Source organism: Homo sapiens, chromosome 19 (genome assembly GCF_000001405.40).
Source record: "Homo sapiens chromosome 19, GRCh38.p14 Primary Assembly".
NCBI classification, from domain to species: domain Eukaryota; kingdom Metazoa; phylum Chordata; class Mammalia; order Primates; family Hominidae; genus Homo; species Homo sapiens.
The window spans coordinates 7454801-7475621 of NC_000019.10; the positions used below are offsets into that span (position 1 = coordinate 7454801).

The 20821-nt window shown below is 55.8% G+C and overlaps 1 protein-coding gene across 15 annotated transcripts in view, besides 1 other annotated feature; it reads left to right on the forward strand.

Moving 5' to 3' along the window:
• Positions 1-20821, forward strand: part of ARHGEF18 (Rho/Rac guanine nucleotide exchange factor 18) — a 131053-nt gene that overhangs the window by 105864 nt on the left and 4368 nt on the right. For 5 of the 15 annotated variants that reach the window (XM_006722706.4, NM_001367823.1, XM_011527839.3 and 2 more), the window contains 12 exons: positions 1527-1603; positions 3712-3890; positions 5103-5194; positions 7352-7534; positions 9018-9155; positions 9760-9890; positions 12118-12174; positions 12271-12318; positions 12414-12884; positions 14025-14331; positions 15104-15229; positions 15326-17678. In XM_006722706.4, the coding sequence (XP_006722769.1) occupies positions 1527-1603; positions 3712-3890; positions 5103-5194; positions 7352-7534; positions 9018-9155; positions 9760-9890; positions 12118-12174; positions 12271-12318; positions 12414-12884; positions 14025-14331; positions 15104-15229; positions 15326-15498 (1982 nt within the window). In that variant the 3' untranslated portion in view covers positions 15499-17678. Of the gene's footprint in view, positions 1-1526; positions 1604-3711; positions 3891-5102; positions 5195-7351; positions 7535-8353; positions 8984-9017; positions 9156-9759; positions 9891-12117; positions 12175-12270; positions 12319-12413; positions 12885-14024; positions 14332-15103; positions 15230-15302; positions 17679-20821 lie in introns of those variants that run through there. The other 10 variants (XM_005272464.5, NM_015318.4, NM_001130955.2 and 7 more) reach the window with 5 other exon arrangements.
• Positions 18355-18404: a silencer, noted in NCBI's record as "silent region_9981". NCBI's record gives its function as "represses an Ori minimal core promoter by ATAC-STARR-seq in GM12878 lymphoblastoid cells {active_cell/tissue: GM12878}" and the evidence as "EXISTENCE:reporter gene assay evidence [ECO:0000049][PMID:35858748]".

The window sequence follows — 20821 nt, forward strand, 5'->3', positions numbered from 1 at the left end:
TTTGGGCCCAGAATTCCAAACACGCTCAGCTGCCCATCTGGGCAGTCATGGGCCAGCCTGCCTGCCATGGGCCCAGCCACTGAGAGGCCCCCATGTGGATAGAGAATACCCCCAGGACTGCTGATCAGCATCCCCAAGCATCCCACTCGCTGCCCAGGGTGTGCTCCGAGCCCTACTTTCAAGACCCATGTTGCAGTTCAGACCAGAGAGTGCTCAGGATTCATTCCTGGGTTTCCTGTTCATTTTTGGAGCCTCTAGAAACATCCCAAGCTATCTATTCACATCAGCATCTTTAAGGATCTTGAGGGAGTCATTGAGGTGGCCAAATGACAGCACTTGCCCACTCATCATTTGAGTAGGCGTGTATTTCGCAGACAGGTTTAGCGCCTTCTGCCTGCCAGGCGCCGAGTTGGATGGTAGGAATACACCCCACCGGGCAAGACCTGGTGCCTAGCCTTTTAAGGCATCAGTCACTGGGCTGAAAGAGAGAAACAAGCCAAAAAACGGAAAAACTAGTTAGAAGTCCAGCACATGCTTTAAGGAAGCCAGCAGGCTGCAGTGTGAGAGAATTAGCAAAAGCGTATCTGACTTAGACAGGGGTGTTGGAAGCAGCTCCCCAAAAGTGGCGTTGCCCTTGAAACGCAGCTCAGGATTTGCATCTATGTGCAGGAAGCCTTACAGCACGAGAGGTTCATACAGGGACAAGGCGCCAAGGGGGACTGAGGGGCACGAGGGGACTGAGACCACCCCTGGCCTGCATCGCTGCTGTGGCTCGGGTCCTGGTGACCCAGGAGCAGGGAGAACAGAGAGCTCCGTTCACATCTGAGACATCAGAGGGAGAGATGTTGTATTAGTCCGTGTTCATGCTGCTGATAAAGACATACCTGAGACTGGGCAACTTACCAAAGAAAGAGGTTTAATGGACTTAAACAGTTCCACCTGTGGGGGAAGGCCTCACAATCATGGCAGAAGGCAGGAGGAGCAAGTCAAGTCTTACATGGATGGCAGCAGGCAAAGAGAGAGGGAGCTTGTGCAGGGAAACTCCCCCTTATAAAACTGTCAGATCTTGTGAGACTCATTCACTATCACGAGAACGGCATGGAAAAGATCTGCCCCCATGATTCAATTACCTCCCACCAGGTCCCTCTTACAGCACGTGGGAATTCAAGATGAGATGTGGGTGGGGACGCAGCCAAACCGTATCAGATTCTCAAAGGTCAGACCCAGCAGGTGTTGTTACAGCAAAGAGAATTGCCGGGCACAGTGGCCTGACATGGGCGGGAGCCCTGGTTTGAGCTCTGGACACGGAAGGGACTTAGAGGAGGCTCCGGCTGCTCGTTGGTGCTGAAGGTTGAGACCTGGAAAGGTGATGGGGGGTGCAGGCAAGGCAGAAAGGAAACTTCTAGGCCCAGGCAGAAGCATCATGCTGCTTACACCTTCCTGGGAAGTGGCATCCGCGGGGGTGGCCAGCAAGACCTCCTGGCTATGGGACTTTTAAGATGCATCCTTCCATGCTGTTTTCCCAGATATCCTGGCTATCCTGCTGACCGACGTACTTTTGCTGCTACAAGAAAAAGATCAGAAATACGTCTTTGCTTCTGTGGTATGTATCCTGTCTCTTCAGACGAAGGGTCGGCTGGGTGCTGTGGCTCACGTCTATAATCCCAGCACTTTGGGAGGCCGAGGTGGGCAGATCACTTGAGGTCAAGAGTTGAAGTCCAGCCTGGCCAACATGGTGAAACCTCACCTCTACTAAAAATACAAAAATTAGCCGGGCATGGTGGCCCATGTCTGTAGTCCCAGCTACTCAGGAGGCTGAGGCAGGATAATCACCTGAACCCAGGAGGTGAAGGTTGCAGTGAGCTGAGATTGTGCCACTGCTCTCCAGCAAGACTGCGCCACTGCTCTCCCGCCTGGGCAACAGAGCGAGACTCTATCTCAAAACAAAAAAACAAAACAAACAAACAAAAAACAGACGAAGGGCCCTGCTTGCTGTGACCTTGTTGGGAGGTTGGCTGAAACTGCCCATGGAAGGGGCACCTGTGAGTTTTCCAGGCCCACATAGCTGGGATTACAGGCGCCCGCCACCACGCCTGGCTAATTTTTTGTATTTTTAGTAGAGACGGGGTTTCACCATGTTGGCCAGGCTGGTCTCCATCTTCTAACCTCAAGTGATCCTCCCGCCTTGGCCTCCCAAAGTGATGGGATTACAGTCGTGCGCCACCGTGCCCAGCTGCTGGTGTGTTCTTAACCAGTGTATTTGTTTGCTGAGGCTGCTGTAAACAAAGTACCATGGACTGGGTGGTTTAGACCACATAAATTTATTGTCTCATGTTTCTGCAGGCTGAAAGTCCAAGATGAAGGTATCAGCAGGGTTGGTTTCTTCTGAGGCCCCTTGGCTTGTAGGCAGCCATGTGCTCATCTGTTCTCTGTGTCCTCGAGTGGCCATCCCTCTGTGTGTGCCTCTGTGCTAATCTCCTCTTGTTAGAAGGATGCCAGTCAGATTGGATTTGGGCCCGCCCATATGATCTCATTTTGCCATAATCACCTCTCTTTTTTTTTTTTTTTTTTTTTTTTTTTGAGACAGTCTCACTCTGTCGCCCAGGCTGGAGTGTGCAATGACACAATCTCGACTCACTGCAACCTCCACCTCCCGAGTTCAAGTGATTCTCCTGCCTCAGCCTCCTGAGTAGCTGGGATTACAGGCACCTGCCGCCACACCCGGCTACTTTTTGTATTTTTAGTAGAGATGGGGTTTCACCATGTTGGCCAGGCTGGTCTTGAACTCCTGACCTTAAGTGATCTGCCTGCCTCAGCCTCCCAAAGTGCTGGGATTACAGGAGTGAGCCACCACACCCGCACATTAATCACCTCTTTAAAGGCCCCATCTCCAAAGACAGCCACATTCTGAGGTGCTAGGGCTCAGGACTTCATATGAATTTGTGGGGAACACAGTGTAGCCCACTCTAGCCAGTTAAAATGTGCATTTTGCTGGTCTGTGGAAGCATTGTCTCTTGAAGGATGCGTGACAGACTAGAAATACCGGTGGCTCTGGGTGGCCTGAGGCACAAGACAGAGATGGGTTTATCTGTTGTTATATACTACATACCGTTGTATCTTTTGAGCTTTCTCGTGTGTATGTGCATTGCCGACTATTTAAAAAAAAATTTTTAAGCTGATGAAATTGACACATTATCGGGATACTAAGGGGCAAGATGGCTCACTCCTGTCATCTCAGCACTTTGGGAGGCCGAGATAGGAGGATCACTTGAGCCTAGGACTTCAAGACCAGCCTGGGCAACATAGTGAGATCCCATCTCTACAAAAAATACAAAAATTAGCTGGGCCTGGCGGCACGTGCCTATAATCCCAGCTACTCAGGAGGCTGAGGTGGGAGGATCACTTGAGCCCAGGAGGTCAAGGCTGCAGGGAACAATGATTGCACCACTGCACTACAGCCTGGGTGACAGAGCAAGACCTGGCCTCCAAGATAGTTTAAAAAAAAAAAAAAAAAAAAAAAGGTTTCTAGGATTTCACTGCAATAGTATCTTTTTTCCCCCAGATGGCAAAATATTTCCGCTTTGAATTGTTTGAAAAGAAATGAGGAGCGTGACCCCCACTCTTAGTTCCCCTCACCAGGCCCTTGACCTCCCTGCTGTTTGGGTGCTGTGGGGTAAAGGGTGACCTCCCCAATGCCCTCTACTCATGCAGGACTCAAAGCCACCCGTCATCTCGTTACAAAAGCTCATCGTGAGGGAAGTGGCCAACGAGGAGAAAGCGATGTTTCTGATCAGCGCCTCCTTGCAAGGGCCGGAGATGTATGAAATCTACACGAGCTCCAAAGAGGACAGGAACGCCTGGATGGCCCACATCCAAAGGGCTGTGGAGAGGTGAGGAGGGCCTGGGGGTCTCCCCACCCACTGTGTTCCTTCCGCTGATTGGTCCACCCTTGGCTTCGACCGTTGGCCATCAGCTGTGACCTTGAACTCCCTCATCCCAGCTTGGGACCCATGACGCCATTCCAGCTCCTTCTGATGACTCAACCTGTTGGACGTTGAGGCCAACGGGCCCAGAAAGGCAGCTGTAACCTGGGCCTTTCTGCATGCGTGGGCCACTGCACCTGCCATGGCGGGCTCTCTGCATTCTAGGGCCAGATTTGTTGGAGCAGGGCATGGCATCTTGTCCTTCCTCCTTGGGCCGAGCACCCCTCAGGGCCCAGAACCAGCTGGCTTCCCCTCCCTCTCTTTATTTTTTATTTTTTTGAGACAGAGTCTTGCTCTGTCACCCAGGCTGGAGTGCAGTGATGCAATCTCGGCTCACTGCAGCCTCCGCCTCCCAGGTTCAAACGATTCTGCTGCCTCAGCCTCCCCGAGTAGCTGGGATTACAGGCGTGAGCCACTGCGCCCAGCCTATTTTGTTTTGTTTTGTTTTGTTTTTTAGAGTCTGGCTCTTGCTCTATCACCCAGGCTGGAGTGCGCTGGCACAATCATAGCTTATTGCAACCCAAACTCCTGGGCTCAAGCCATCCTACCCCCTCGGCCTCCCAAGTAGCTTGAACTACAGGCATACACCACCACACCCAGCTAGATTTTTTATTTTTGTAGAGATGGGGCCTCACTGTGTTGCCCAGGCTGGTCTTGAACTCCTGGCCTCAAGCCATCCTCCTGTCTTGGCCTCCCAAAGTGTTGGGATTACAGGCGTGAGCCACCATGCCTGTCCACTCCCTCTCTTGATTCCCGGAGGCTTCCTGGTGCCTTAATCTGGTTCAGACTCCCCCATCCACAGTAGCTGTAGCTCTACGGGGCTTGCAGCCACCCACCTGCACCTGGCAGGTCCTCTGCAAGCCCGCTGTCCCCTGGACTCCTCCTCTAAGTCACAGGCAGGCATGTAAAGCCTCTTCCTGGTTATGCCCTGGCGCTTTGGGGCGGGATGAATGTCAGTGGCTCTCTCTCTTCCCCTCCTCGTCCTCCTGCACCACGAACAAGCTAAATCACTCCCAAAGTCAGAGACGGTCGTGGCGGCTGGTTCTGCAGAACCAGCGTCTGTGCCGAGGCTGGCCTGCCTGGGAAGCACAGTTACCCACCCGACTCCTCTCCCTGCAGCTGCCCTGACGAGGAGGAGGGGCCCTTCAGCCTGCCCGAAGAGGAAAGGAAGGTGGTCGAGGCCCGCGCCACGAGACTCCGGGACTTTCAAGGTGAGCGGGAGACAGCGTCTGGGCACACCCCTTGTGTGGTGAGCCCTGGGCCCTCCATCAGGACTGGCCACAGAGGGTGAACTGCCCCCCAGGTGACCCGGTGTTTTCCCGTGGGCTGTGCCATGTCCTGCAGCTCTGTGAAGCATTAGAACGGGCTGTGCCATGACATAGCGATCTCCAGAGGTCACTTAGCCCTTTGGGGGTATGTGGGAGAGGGAGGGAGGAGAGCCCAGAGGACCTGAGCCCCTTCCAGAGCCGACCACACAGCCACACACGCCACCACCACCCCATCCTCGTGCAGCCAGGAGCTCAACAGGGCATCCCAGTCCCATACGAAGGAATAGCACAGGGTCCCCACAGCCTCCTTCCAGAGCTTCCTCCTCCCTGTTTAATTACACGATTGAGATGTAATTCACACACCACAGCACTCACCCTCCCAAGCGTGGGGTTCAGGGGCATTTCAGTGCATTTCCAATTATGCAGCCAGAATCATGTTAACTTTAGAACATCCCACCACCCCAGAAAGAAGCCCCGTCCCCCTTAACAGTCACTCCCCACCCCATGCCCCAACCCTGGCAACAGGAATCTACTTCCTGTCCCTGTAGATTGGCCTGCCCTGGACATTCCACATAAATGGAGTCACACCGCGCGGCCTTTTGGGTCTGGCTCCTCTCGAGGTGTGGTATTAAGGTTCGCCCGCGCTCAGTGAGCACTTTGTCAAGAACAATTCCTGGTGCCCTGTAGCCTGCGGCAAGCTCCCTTCTTCCCTTTCACTGTCTGTATTTTTTTTTATTTTATCTTCTTTTTTTTTTTTAAACAGAGCCTCGCTCTGTCACCAGGCTGGAATGCAGTGGCGTGATCTCGGCTTACTGCAAGCTCTGCCTATCAGGTCCAAGAGATTCTCCTCCCTCAGCCTCCCGAGTAGCTGGGACTATAGGCACCCGCCACCACGCCCCACTAATTTTTGTGTTTTTAGTAGAGATGGGGTTTCACCATGTTGGCCAGGATGGTCTCAATCTCTCGACCTCGTGATCTGCCTGCCTCGGCCTCCCAAAGTGCTGGGATTACAGGCGTGAGCCACCGCTCCCGGCCCTGTATTATTCATTTCTAAATTGGATAATACTCAAACAATAAGTGGCCTGGTATGGTGGCTCATGCCTGTAATCCCTGCACTTTGGGAGGCTGAGGCAGATGGATCACTGGAAGCCAGGAGTTTGAGACCAGCCTGGACAACATGGCAAAACCCTGTCTCTACAAAAAATTTAAAAATTAGGCTGGGTGCGGTGGCTCACGCCTGTAATCCCAGCACTTTGGGAGGCCAAAGCAGGTGGATCATTTGAGATCAGGAGTTTGAGACCAGCCTGGCCAAGATGGCAAAACCCCGTTTCTACTAAAAATACAAAAAATTAGCCAGGCATGGTGGTGCGTGCCTATAGTCCCAGCTACTCGGGAGGCTGAGGCAGGAGAATCGCTTGAACCCGGGAGGTGGAGGTTGCAGTGAGCCGAGATTGTGCCACTGCACTCCAGCCTGGGCGACAGAGCGAGACTCCTTCTCAAAAGAAGAAGGAAGGAAAGAAAGAAAGGGAGGATGGAAAATTCAGTTTTCTAAGGCTCTAAGTTGGTCCCAGACTAATAAATGGGCCTGATACAATCCTCACTCACACCCTACTGTGTTTGATTTTATTTTATTTCTTTTAGAGACAGGATCTTGCTTTGTTGGCCAGGCTGGAGTACAGTACTGCAGTCATAGCTCACTGCAGCCTTGAACTCCTGGGCTCAAGCGATCCTCCTGCCTCATTTCCCAGGCATGCACCACCACAACCAGCTAATTTTTTATTTGTAGAGACAGAGTCTCATTATGTTGTCCAGGCTGGTCTCGAACTCCAGGCCGCAAGAGTCCTCCTACCTTGGCTTCCCTAAGTACTGGGATCGCAGGCCTGAGCCACCACAGCTAACCTGATTTTTATAACAAGGGGGAAAATAATCAGAGGACAAGGCCATGCCCTCCCCTACCTCCCAGGAATGCAGGACACAAGGGGGCAGCCTACCTCAGGGCAGGGCCAGCGGGGTTCCTCATCCTTAGGCCAGTCCCCGGGGCTCAGATGATTCCAGGGAAGGCCGACCCGGCTGACTGCCACCTCCACCATCACTCTGCAGAGCGGTTGAGCATGAAAGACCAGCTGATCGCACAGAGCCTCCTAGAGAAACAGCAGATCTACCTGGAGATGGCCGAGATGGGCGGCCTCGAAGACCTGCCCCAGCCCCGAGGCCTATTCCGTGGAGGGGACCCATCCGAGACCCTGCAGGGGGAGCTAATTCTCAAGTCGGCCATGAGCGAGAGTAAGTTGGCTGCCCACACCTCAAGGGTGCAGTCTTGCCGGGGTGGGCTCCTCAGGGAACCCCAGGCCAGGCTCACGGCTCATTGTGGCCGACACGGCACCCTGTCCAGGACAGGCTTCTATGTGGGGGGGGCCCAGGAGCAGCACTGACCGCCCCCCGGTGCCTGTGAGAGCCAGAAGGGCCTTAGACATAATCTGGGCCAAGCCGCTCCTTGCAGACATAAAGCACTTTCTCCCCGTTCAACAACCGCTCTGATGCTCCCTGCATGCAGAGGCTCTAAGCCGGGCCGTGGGGAGGATCTGAAGTTGACTAAGACTGGTTCCCTACCTACCAGAGGTTCCTCTTCTTCCTGGGAGGTGGGTCCTGGTGATATCCCCAGAAAAACACACGCACACTCCCTCAGTGGGTCCCCACGCACAGCTCTAACACAGCCGCCAGGCCCCTGGGCTGGCCGCTTGAGCAGGCAGTCAGCGCCCAGTCTGCTCTTTCTTTTTTTCTTTTCTTTTTTTTTTTTTTTTTTGAGATGGAGTCTCGCTTTGTCACCCAGGCTGGAGTGCAGTGGCGTGATCTCGGCTCACTGCAACCTCCACCTCCTGGGTTTAAGTAATTCTGCCTCAGCCTCCTGGGTAGCTGGGATTACAGGCACCCACCACCACGCCCAGCTAATTTTTGTATTTTTCGTAGAGATGGGGTTTCACCATGTTGGCCAGGCTGGTCTCGAACTCCTGACCTCAGATGATCCACCCTCCTCTGCCTCCCAAGGTGCTGGGATTATAGGCGTGAGCCACCGCGCCCTGCCTCAATCTGCTCTTTCAACAGTGAGGGAAGCCGACTCAGCCCCTGCCTTCCAGAGCCTTTCCGCAGAATAAGACGGCAGAGACGGGGGTCAGTCTTTCTCCCTCCAGGCCCACTGACATCCTTCCACCCGGCTCCAGTGGCCATTGTTCTTGGCCCCCTGGGGACACTCTCATATCCCGCACCTTGGCCTGGAATGTTCTTGTCCCCACCTCTGTGCCTGGCCACAGCCTGTTGGTCCTAGAGGGCTTTCTGTAGACAGCCCTTCCCCACAAAGTCACTCTCCCATATGGCCATTGTCACACAATCAGTGTATGGTCATTGTCATATAACACACCAAGTGTTTCCTGCTGGCCCTGGGCAGGGCCACATCCAGCATTCGCCAGCCCCTGGCCCAGGGCGGCCTGGTGGAAGGAGCTGCAGGAGCCTGTACCCGCCCTCCCCATGGCTGCCCCACAGCCCTGTCCTCTCACTTAGACGCAGATTGGCCTGTCCTGGTGGCCATACCTGAAGTAAGGGTGTGCGCAGGGACAGTGGGGCTGAAATCCCACGGCACACAGAAGGGGGCAGGCGATCACCACCCCAGTGAGTCCCTCCGTCCACCCGGGTCTCGCTGCCCCAGCGCTCCGTATTCCCCCAGCACACTTCCGCAGGGCGACCCGTGCCTCCTGTCCCCTTCCTTCCACAGTCGAGGGCATCCAGAGCCTGATCTGCAGGCAGCTGGGCAGCGCCAACGGCCAGGCGGAAGACGGAGGCAGCTCCACAGGCCCGCCCAGGAGGGCTGAGACCTTCGCGGGCTACGACTGCACAAACAGCCCCACCAAGAGTAAGAGCGGGGCCGTCTCCCCTCCTGCCTCCAGGGCCGCCCCTCAGGATGCACATTAACTTGTATGGGGTTTCCTAGAACTTTCTTTTTTGTTGTTGTTGAGACAGAGTCTTGCTCTGTCACCCAGGCTGGAGTGCAGTGGCGCAATCTCAGCTCTCTGCAACCTCTGCCTCCTGGGTTCAAGTGATTCTCCCGCCTCAGCCTACCAAGTAGCTGGGACTATAAGCACACGCCACCATGCCCGGCTACTTTTTGTATTTTTAGTAGAAATGGGGTTTCACCATGTTGGCCAGGCTGGTCTCGAACTCCTGACTTCAGGTGATCCGCCCGCCTCAGCCTCCCAAAGTGCTGAGATTGCAGGTGTGAGCCACCGCACCCAGCCGATTTTCTGGAACCTTCTGAAACCCTCCAGACATCGTTGGTTGTGTTGTGACAGCAGCACCCAGACCAGCCTGCCCCTCTCCAGCAGGCGTCTGTGCTGCAGACGCCACCATTCGGGCCTAGCCTGGGTTTCCTACCTGGGCAGGGGCTGGGGGTGGACTGGGAAGCTTCCCCCTCCCCACGGGATGGCAGCATCCTCATGCCCCTGGCTTGGGGTTCTCAGATGGCAGTTTCAAGAAGAAAGTCAGCAGCACTGACCCCAGGCCCCGAGACTGGCGAGGCCCCCCAAACAGCCCGGACTTGAAGCTCAGTGACAGTGACATTCCTGGGAGCTCTGAGGAATCGCCGCAGGTGGTACGTGGATATCCATTTGCTCGGTACAGTCTGAGTCGTCATAAGGATTCATGTGTGTGAGCAGCTTCTGCTGGGGTTGTCCAGTTTTAGTCTTATTAGCATCGACAAGCATTGTTTGTTTTGTGGTGAATAACAGTATCTCAGCCCAGATTAATGCACTGGCAGGTGATTTCTTCCTGCAGCCTCCTGGGAAAAGCAAAGAGGTCCCCAAGAGGAAGGCTGGGGAGGGGACAGGCTCAGGGCACTCACCATGGCTTCATCAACAGGCGAGGAACCCCCTACAGGGACCACCAGCTTTCAGCCGGGGCAGGTGTGGTGGTGCCTACCAGATGCCAGATGTCCCCGGCTATTCCTTTGCCTTTGAATCAGAAGGCCAGGTGCCTACTCGGCCCTGCCCAGGTCAGGGGGTCAGAGGCCAAGGCCAGTTGCCTCTGATCAGTTCTGAGGCTTGGACTTGCCCCTGTGGCCAGAGCTGGCACGCAGGCCTCATAGCCAAGCCCACTCTACCTCCCAGGAGGCCCCAGCCCCTCGTTTTCCAAACACCCAGATTTGTACAAGTCAGCTGACCAGCAGGGCCTGTGTTCCCAGTCATGACCCGGTCCTGGGTCCTTCCTGTTATCCACACTAAGGGATGTATTTTCAATAATAAGCAGGGGCCGGGTGCAGTGCCTCACACCCATAATCCCAGTGTTTTGGGAGACCGAGGTGGGAGGATCACTTTTTTTTTTTTTTTTTGGAGACAAGGTCTCACTCTGTCACCCAGGCTTGAGGGCAGTGGCGTGATCACAGCTCACACAGCCTCTAACTCCTAGGCTCAAGCAATCCTCCCACCTCAGCCTCCCAAGTAGCTGAAACTACAGGTGCGCGCCCCCACACCTGACTAATTTTTTAAATGTTTGGTAGATACAGGGTCTCACTATGTTGCCCAGGCTGGTTTCCAACTCCTGGGCTCAAGCAATCCTCCTGCCTGGGCCTCCCAAAGTGTTGGGATTATAGGCAAGGCCGCCATACCTGGCCTTGGGAGGATCACTTGAGGCCATGAGTTTGAGACCAGCCTGGGCAACATAGCAAGACCACATGTCGACAAAATATTTTTAAAATAGCTGATCCTTTGGCTGGGTGCGGTGGCTCATGCCTGTAATCCCAGCACTTCAGGAGGCCGACTCGGGTGATCACTTGAGTCCAGGGTTTGAGACCAGCCTGGCCAACATGGTGAAACCCTGTCTCTACTAAAAATATAAAAATTAGCTGGACGTGGTGGTGGATACCTGTAATCCCAGCTACTCAGGAGGCTAAGGTGGGAGAATCGCTTGAACCTAGGAGGTGGAGGTTGCAGTGAGCCGAGATTGCACCACTGCACTCTAGCCTGGGCGACCAAGCAAGACTTTGTTTCAAAAAAGTTAAAAATAGCTGCTGGGTGTGGTGGCTCACGCCTGTAATCCCAGCACTTTGGGAAGCCAAGGCAGGTGGATCACCTGAGGTCAGGAATTCGAGACCAGCCTGACCAACATGGTGAAACCCCGCCTCTACCAAATATACAAAATTAGCCAGGCGTGGTGGCACATTCGAGTAATCCCAGCTATTTGGGAGGCTGAGGCAGGAGAATCACTTGAACCAGGAAGGTGGTGGTTTCAGTGAGCTGAGATCGTGCCATTGCACTCCAGCCTGGGCAACGAGCAAAACTCCATCTCAAAAAAAAAAAAAAAAAAAATTAAAAATAGCTGATCCTGGTGGTGCACACCTGTAGTCCCAGCTACTCAGGAGGCCGAGGTGGGAGGATCAGGCCACTACACTCTAGAGCAAGGCCCTGTCTCAAAAAAAAAAAAAAGAAGCCAGGCATGGTGGCTCATGCCTGTAATCCCAGCACTTTGGGAGGCCGAGGCGGGCGGATCACCTGAGGTCAGGAGTTTGCAACCAGCCTGGCCAACATGGTGAAACTCCGTTTCTACTAAAAATACACAAAATTAGCCAGGCGTGGAGGCTTGAGCCTATAATCCCAATTACTCGGGAGGTTGAGGCAGGAGAATTGCTTGAACCCGGGAGCTGGAGGGTGCAGTGAGCCAAGATCGCGCCACTGCACTCCAGCTTGGGCAACAAGAGCAGAATTCCGTCTCAAAAAAAAAAAAAAAAAAAAAAGTTAAAAAAAAAGAAGAAGAAGAAGAAGGCTTGAGTCTAGTCGGATGGGTCTTGAGCCACTCTCTCTGGTTTGACGGTGTCCTCTTCCCAGGTGGAGGCGCCAGGCACGGAATCCGATCCCCGTCTGCCCACCGTCCTGGAGTCGGAGGTAGGCGCCCGCGGGTCTCCATCTCCCCAGGGCCTTGTGCACGCGCGTGTGGCCTCAGCCCGATAACTAGCATCAATCTCCCTCTCCTCTCCGCAGCTTGTCCAGCGGATCCAGACACTGTCCCAGCTGCTCCTGAACCTTCAGGTACAGGGGCGGGGTGGGGCCGGCCACGCGTGCCCTTTCCTGGTTGGCTGGGGCGCAGGTGCGGCTCTCACTCGCCTGGCCCTGGCCCTCCGCAGGCGGTAATCGCCCACCAGGACAGCTATGTGGAGACGCAGCGGGCTGCCATCCAGGAGCGGGAGAAGCAGTTCCGGCTGCAGTCGACGCGTGGGAACCTGCTGCTGGAGCAGGAGCGGCAACGCAACTTCGAGAAGCAGCGGGAGGAGCGCGCGGCCCTGGAGAAGCTGCAGAGCCAGCTGCGGCACGAGCAGCAGCGCTGGGAGCGCGAGCGCCAGTGGCAGCACCAGGAGCTGGAGCGTGCGGGCGCGCGGCTGCAGGAGCGCGAGGGCGAGGCGCGGCAGCTACGCGAGCGGCTGGAGCAGGAGCGGGCCGAGCTGGAGCGCCAGCGCCAGGCCTACCAGCACGACCTGGAGCGGCTGCGCGAGGCCCAGCGTGCCGTGGAGCGCGAGCGGGAGCGCCTGGAGCTGCTGCGCCGCCTCAAGAAGCAGAACACCGCGCCAGGCGCGCTGCCGCCCGACACACTGGCCGAGGTGAGCGCGCAGCAGCCAGTGTGCGCAGGTTGGGGGTGACCGGTTTGCACGTGCATTTGCACGAGTGCATGCAGGTGACAGGGTTCGCGGGTGCATGCGTGCAGGAGTGTAAGAGCAAACGGCACAAGATACCCTTGCATTAACAGCTCATGCCGCAGTACAGACCTTTCTCGGAGCTGGCTAAATGCTTAACAGAACGCTGTTGCTCAAAACATGCCATAAATGTTAGAAACTTCTTAAAAAAAAAATGCACTCCTGTAATCCCAGCACTTTGGGTGGTGGAGGCAGGCGGATTGCTTGAGGGCAGGAGTTCCAGGCCAGCCTGGGTAACATGGCGAAACTCCATCTCTACAAAAAAATACAAAAATGAGCTAGGCATGGTGGCATGCACCTGTGGTCCCCGCTACTTGGAATGCTGAGGTGGGAGGATCACTTGAGCCCGGGAGAATGAGGCTGCCATGAGCCGTGATCACGCCACTGCACTCCAGCCTGGGCAACAGAGTGAGACATGAGCCGTGATCATGCCACTGCACTCCAGCCTGGGCAACAGAGTGAGACCCCGTCTCAAAAAAAAAAAAAAAATGAAGCTGGGTGCCATGGTGTGCACCCTAGCTACTCGGGAGGCTGAGGCCGGAGGATTGCTTGAGGCTAGGTATTTGAGACCAGCCTGGGCCACGTAGTGAGACCTCATCTCTAAAAAAAAAATGCAAAAATTAGCAGGGCGTGGTGGCACATACCTGTAATCCAAACTACTTGGGAGGCTGAGGCAGGGGGATCATTTGAGCCCAAGAGGCTCAAGAGCTATGATTGTGCCACTGCATTCTAGCCTGGGTGACAGAGCAAGACCGTGTCTCTGAAAACAAATCTATAAACCATGGGTTCTGTGAACAGATGTGGACACGGATGTGTGAGATGTTTGTATATGAGTGTGTGACAGTATGGGTGCCACTGAGTGTCACCACAAGTCTGCACATTTAGCAGGGGTTGGGGACGGGCAATGACCAGCAGCTCCTTCAGGCTGCACCTGGCTCTGTCCAGAACAGGAGAGGTCGAGGGTCTCCTGTGCACGACCCTCGGGGGCTCTCCAGAGGCCGCACAGCAGGAACCTCACATTGGATGTATCTGCTGTTGTCCCCTCAGGCCCAGCCCCCAAGCCACCCTCCCAGCTTCAACGGGGAAGGGCTGGAGGGCCCTCGTGTGAGCATGCTGCCATCCGGCGTGGGGCCAGAGTACGCAGAGCGCCCCGAGGTGGCTCGCCGGGACAGCGCCCCCACCGAGAACCGGCTGGCCAAGAGCGATGTGCCCATCCAGCTGCTCAGCGCCACCAACCAGTTCCAGAGGCAGGCGGCCGTGCAGCAGCAGATCCCCACCAAGCTGGCGGCCTCCACCAAGGGTGGCAAGGACAAGGGCGGCAAGAGCAGGGGCTCTCAGCGCTGGGAGAGCTCAGGTGAGCCGGCCCCACCCCTTCGCCTGGGCCTGGAAGGTGCAACTGGTCAGGCTCTAGCGGCTCGCTGGGAGCCAGGAAATTCGGGACACCTGTGCCATCCTCTGGAGAGGAAAACCAGAAGGCACAGCTGGCATCGTGGCTGAGGCCACCCCACACAGGGCCGTGTTTGGTCTCCAGGCCCAAAACTGAGATGATCCACCCTGCATCTTCTCCACCTCAACCCTCAAAACAGTGGGATGGGGACCAGGAGCCTTAGAAAGGGACACGGGCAAGAAGGCAGAGATCCCTGGCCACGTGGGATCAGCACAGCCGGGACAGGGACAGGTGCAGGCGCCTCTGCTCATTGTCCCAGTTCCACAGAGCCGTTCCACAGAGTGGGACACGGAGCCCAGAGCAGCCCCAGTGTTTCCACGGAGGATGTCCAGGAGCTCCTCTGGGGGACACCTCCCTGGGGGACAACCAGGGATGTTCTGGGATGTTCTCTGAAGATTAAGGGTGTGTCCCGTGGTCACTAGGGCCTGTGCTATTTCCACAGGAGGCTCAGCCTCCTCTCCAGATGCCGGGTGACTCTGCAGGTCCTTCCGCAGGGAGGTTGGGGCCGTTCTCCCTGAATCTGGGGCTTAGCATCTGAGCAGCTCAGGTCACGGGATCCAGGCCGCCCGTGGGAAGTGTCAGGTGGGGGTGGCCAGGCCCCTCTGCTCTCGGAGGCTGCCCTGGCGGGTGGGGACAGCTGGCCAGCCTGGAGCTGGCCCAAATACCTTCTCTCTTCCAGCGTCCTTCGACCTGAAGCAGCAGCTGCTGCTCAACAAGCTCATGGGGAAAGATGAGAGCACCTCACGGAACCGCCGCTCGCTGAGCCCTATCCTGCCCGGCAGACACAGTCCTGCGCCCCCACCAGGTGAGCCCCCACCCCCTGACATGAGCCCAGTCCCAGGGCAGCGGGGCTGCGGCACCACCCGGCGACTGCTCAGTCTGAACCCTCTCTCTGTTCCAGACCCTGGCTTCCCCGCCCCGAGCCCACCGCCAGCTGACAGCCCCTCCGAGGGCTTCTCTCTCAAGGCCGGGGGCACAGCCCTCCTGCCCGGGCCCCCAGCTCCCTCGCCACTGCCGGCCACACCACTCAGCGCCAAGGAGGACGCCAGCAAAGAAGACGTCATCTTCTTCTAAAAGGGCCGTGACTCAAGGTGCAAGGCCCCTCCCTGCCCTGCCCACCCTTCCTGCTCTCTGGGGACCCCCATGGGGTCACCATGCCCACCCAGCTGTCCCCTCCTCTTCCCTAGCAAACCACTGATGACCGCCTGGCAGGGGCCAGCCTGTCGGTGCTCTGGGCCTTGCAGCTGTTTCTGTAGGGTTAGCGGTGGTGCCGGGGTCACTTTCTGAATCTCTTTTTTTTTTTTTCAAAAAGGAAAGTTTTTAATGGAAAGTTGAGCCAGAACTAAACCAGGGAGCTGTCTGAAATCATAGCACCCCATCCGGGTGGCGGGGAGATCAACTCCGAGCTGTTTTTCCGAGGCAGTGAGGAACGGTGCCGGCTCTGCACGGAGCTGAGGACAGGACAGACCTTGCTTTGAGAAGGAGCTGCCGGCCGGGGCCACGCTCCACAGCCGCCGCGCGACAGTGGAGCCAAGGGTTAGGGCACCAGGAGGGGCCAGGTGGCGTCGGCAGCATCTGTCCCCAGAATCAGGCAGAATCCACTTCCCAAACAGAGCCCCACGCAGGTTCACCATGAACCTCAGGGTCAGGGAATGAGCCAGGCACGGGGGCATGGGCAGAGAGGGCCACGGGGCAGGGCCCACTGAGGGAACATCAGTGGCCCTCCAGTCAGGTTCTGTGGGTTTGGAAGCCCATCGTGAAAGGGGCTGACCTTTGCCCCTTTTTACTTGGCATTGGTTTTGAAACCAGCTGTTTCCCAAACTCTGCTTCCCAAGGGCAACCGTTGCTGTTCACACGCTCAGCCTGTCTGGGGGAGCGGGCCTCTAGCTTCAGCCAGGGCGGGTACACACCCTGGGCACAGGGTCCTCAGCCCCCGGGAAATGAGCTCCCAGGGCTGGCGTCCCACCTTCCAGGTGGGGGCTGGCACATCACAGACTGTCGAGAGCGCCATGTCCCAGGGCATGCAGAGGATGCACCTAGAGACGTTGCAGCAAGTGGACAAGTGGCCGCTGTGCGGGCCCCTCGCTTGTAGTGAGCTGTTGCAGCTTACGGTCCGTTCCCTGGAGGGGTGGAGGAAGGAGGTGTTGGGCAGCATCAAAGGTGCTGGGACATCCCAGGGTGGTGAGATCCATCCACGATCCAGCTCCGGTGGAGAAAGGGCCCATGTCAAGCCTTGTTCTGCACCCCAAGCATTGGTGGTAGGACTGGGTCCTGGCTGATCGTCCTTGTTCCCAGTGGGGTACATGTGAGCCCCTGCCAGGGCCAAGTCCTTCTCCCGAACCCAGGGTCCTGGGAACTGCAGATCCCGGGGGGATTCAGCCCTTCTCCCACTGTGCTGGCAGAGGCACTCCTGTGACGCTGAATACAGTGAACAGGGACATTCCCGCCACTCGGGGACAGATGGGCACAAGGGAGGGGAAACTCCATCAGGAAGTGCTCCCCTGGGCAGAGGCGCCCACTGGGTGCTGTGGGCTCAGGAGGGGGCGGGGCAGGAGCTGGTGCCAACCGGGAACCAGAGCCCCACAGCCATACAGCCCATTGGTGACAAGGTCCTGAGAACACAGTGGCCAGGTGTCCCCAGGCTCCTGGCCCCTCCGACGACCTCAACTCTGCCCAGCCCGGTCCCTGGCCATCAGCGACGCTGTCCGCCCCCCGTCAGATCCCATGTGTGCCATGTTTATCATCAGTGTTTTGTATTTTTGTACTGAGTATCGGAGCACTTTACAGAAGCTGACTGTACATTCCTGTTCTGTTGTGAAGAGAACATTCCCAGACCCTGGCACCCTCCTGAGCCGGCGTGTGCCGGTCCAGCCCTCCGAGATGCCACAATTCCTTGGATGGGGGAGAAGTTCAAGGAATTTCTGCTCGGCCACGCGGTGGGAACCCCGCGTCCCCGCCATGTGGCAGAGGGGTCTCAGTCGTGCTAGGCATCGGGCGGCAGCGCCGACAGCCCTTCCCTCGCCAGTGCCCCTCGGCCACTCCTGGGTTGGAGCCCGATTTTATTTGTAAAGTTGACAGTCGAGCAAATGTTCCTATTTTCGTGGGATCTGCACACGTCTTTGTCAGTTGTGGTCATGATCTTAGTCACCTGCTAATTATTTTTACAATGATTACAACATTTCCTCACTGCGGGATATTTCTGACCCGCTTTAGAACTTAAGACCTGATTCTAGCAATAAACGTGTCCGAGATGAGCGGTGACTGGCGTGCACGTTCTTGGAGGTTTTATTTGAGGATTTTCTTCTGCCCAAACGTTGCTGCAGGAGTAGCAGGTTCTGTTGGGGGCTCCCCATGGCTCCTGCCCCTCAGCTCGCTCACCTGCCCTCCGTGTCCTGCTTAACGCTCTGAAGACCCCTTCAGGTCCAGTCCCCAGGAGTTGTTGGGGGTTTTGTTTTTGTTTTTGTTTCTGTTTTTTTGGTTTGTTTGTTTTTTTGAGACAGAGTCTTGCTCTGTCGCCCAGGCTGGAGACCAGTGGCAGGTTCTCAGCTCACTGCAACCTCTGCCTCCCGGGTTCAAGCACTTCTCCTGCCTCAGCCTCCTGAGTAGCTGGGATTACAGGTGTGCACCACCACGCCCAGCTAATTTTTGTATTTTTTTAGTAGACATGGGGTTTCGCCATGTTGGCGAGGCTGGTCTCGAACTCCTGACCTCAAGTGATCTGCCCGCCTCAGCCTCCCAAAGTGCTGGGATTACGGGCACAGGGCAGGAGTGGGGCGTGGAGGTGCCTGTGGAGGGTCCTGCCCACCGGGTACACTTCAGGCTTTGGTGGCGCCTCCACGAAAATCTTTTTGCTTTTAATCCACAATAACCGCAAAGGCTGGAACTTTCACTTCCTCCATCTGGGGTGAGAGGCAGCTTGGCCATGAGTATGAAATCATCATTTCCACCTGGTCTGAGTCCCGGTCCAGTGAGGCGAGGACCCTGCTGTTTCAACAGAGGGTTTCCCATCACAAGGGGACTAGGTGTAAAGTCGATCACTAGCTCACTAGGAAGCGCAAAAAGGGAACTCTCAGGCAGCACTGTCCACCAGGAAGATGATGCAGGCCACGTGTGGAATTTTTCATTTTTAGTAGCCATATTAAAAAAGTAAAAGGAGGGCCGGGCACAGTGGCTCATCCCTGTAATCCCAGCATTTTGGGGAGGCGGGGGCTGAGGCAGGAGGATAGCTTGAGCCCAGGAGTTCAAGACCAGCCTGGGCAACATAGTGAAACCCCTTCACAGAAAAATTAAAAAATTAGCCAGGTTGGCCGGGCGCAGTGGCTCACGCGTGTAATCCCAGCACTTTGGGAAGCCAAGGTGGGCAGATTACGAGGTCAGGAGATCGAGACCATCCTGGCTAACAAGGTGAAACCCCGTCTCAACTAAAAATACAGAAATTAGCCGGGCGTGGTGGCGGGCGCCTGTAGTCCCAGCTACTCGGGAGGCTGAAGCAGGAGAATGGCGTGAACCCAGGAGGCGGAGCTTGCGGTGAGCCGAGATTGCGCCACTGCACTCAGCCTAGGCAATAGAGCGAGACTCCGTCTCAAAAAAAAAAAAAAAAAAAAAAAAATTAGCCAGGTATGGTGGCGTGCACCTGTAATCCCAGCTACACAGGAGGCCAAGGCAGGAGGATTGCTTGAGCCTAGGGGTTCAAAGTTGCAGTGAGCTATGATCGTGCCACTGCACTCCAGCCTAGGCAACATGGTGAGACCCTGTCTATAAGAGCTTAAAAAAAAAAAAGGAAATTTGGGGGATAGAAAAAAGAAATGAAATTTAAAAAAAAAAGAAAAAAGGGCTGGACGCAGTGGCTCACGCCTGTAATCCCAGCACTTTGGGAGGCCGAGGCAGGCAGATCACCTGAGGTCCGGAGTTTGAGACCAGCCTGGCCAACATGTTGAAACCCCATCTCTACTAAAAACACAAAAATCAGCCGGGCGTGGTGGCAAACACCTGTAATTCCAGCTACTCTGGGGGCTGAGGCAAGAGAAGCGGTTGAACCCGGAGGCGGAGGTTGCAGTGAGCCGAGACTGCACGATTGCACTCCAGCCTGGGGGACAACAGTGAGACTTCGTCTCAAAAAAAAAAGAAAAAAAGGATGTAATTAATTTATTACATTTTTATTTATTTTTTTGACATGGAGTCTTGCTCTGTCACCCAGGCTGGAGTGCAGTGGCACGCTATCTTGACTCACTGCAACCGCCGCCTCCCAGGTTCAAGTAATTATCCTGCCTCAGCCTCCCGAGTAGCTGGGATTACAGGCACCCACCATCATGCCCGGCTAATTTTTGCATTTTTGTAGAGATGGGGTTTCACCATGTTGACCAGGCTGGTCTTGAACTCCTAATCTCAGGTGATCTGCCTGTCTCGGCCTCCCAAAGTGCTGGGATTACAGGCGTGAGCCACCGCGCCTGGTCTATTTTTTCTTCATTGTGGTCAAATGCACACAACATAAAACTGGCCAGTTGCTATTCTCCTGATGGTGGGCATTGGAGTGTGTGTGTGTGTGTGTGTGTGTGTGTGTCTCCCCCCACCCTCTGATTTGCTCCACCCCAACCCCAGCCGTCCTCTGACCTCTGCCTAGCTGACCCCTCCACTGGGATGCCCCCAGCCTTCCTCAGCACTCCTTATGGGCCCTGGGGGGCTTGGAGGCACCCTAAAATGAGATGTTCTGCAAAGAGGGCCTGTAGTGGCTGGGCACGGTGGCCCACGCCTATAATCCCAGCACTTTGGGAGGCCGAAGTGGGTGAATCACTTGAGCACAGGAGTTCAAGACCAGCCTGGGCAACGTGGTGAAACCCCGTTTCTACTAAAAATACAAAATTAGCCAGGCATGCTTGGGCGTGCCTGTAGTCCCAGCTACTCGGGAGGCTGAGGCAGAGAATTGCTTGAACCCAGGAGGCGGAGGTTGCAGTGAGCCGAGATCGCGCCACCGCACTCCAGCCTAGGCGACAGAGTGACTCTGTCTCAAAAAAGAGGGCCCGTAGTCTTTAAGGTTCACAAAGGGGTCTGTTCCCAGCCCCTAAAAGGTTGAAAACCACTGGACCAGAATGGGCAACCCAGGGACAGAGTAGTGGTCACCAAGCCTGGGGGCTGCGGGTGGGTAACAGCTGAGGGGTGTGAGGTTTCTCTCTGGGGTGATGGAATGTTCTAAGGTTGACTGTGGCTCTGCTTGCACGACTGTGAATGTACTAAAAGCCACTGAACTGTCCCCCTTCTGTGGATAAATTTTATATGTGAATTATATTTCCATAAAACTGTTTAAACACACACACACACACACAACCACACACACACACAACCACTGGACCAGCTGAGAGAGTGGGAGAGCGGCCTCCCTTTCTGGAAGCATCCAACCTGT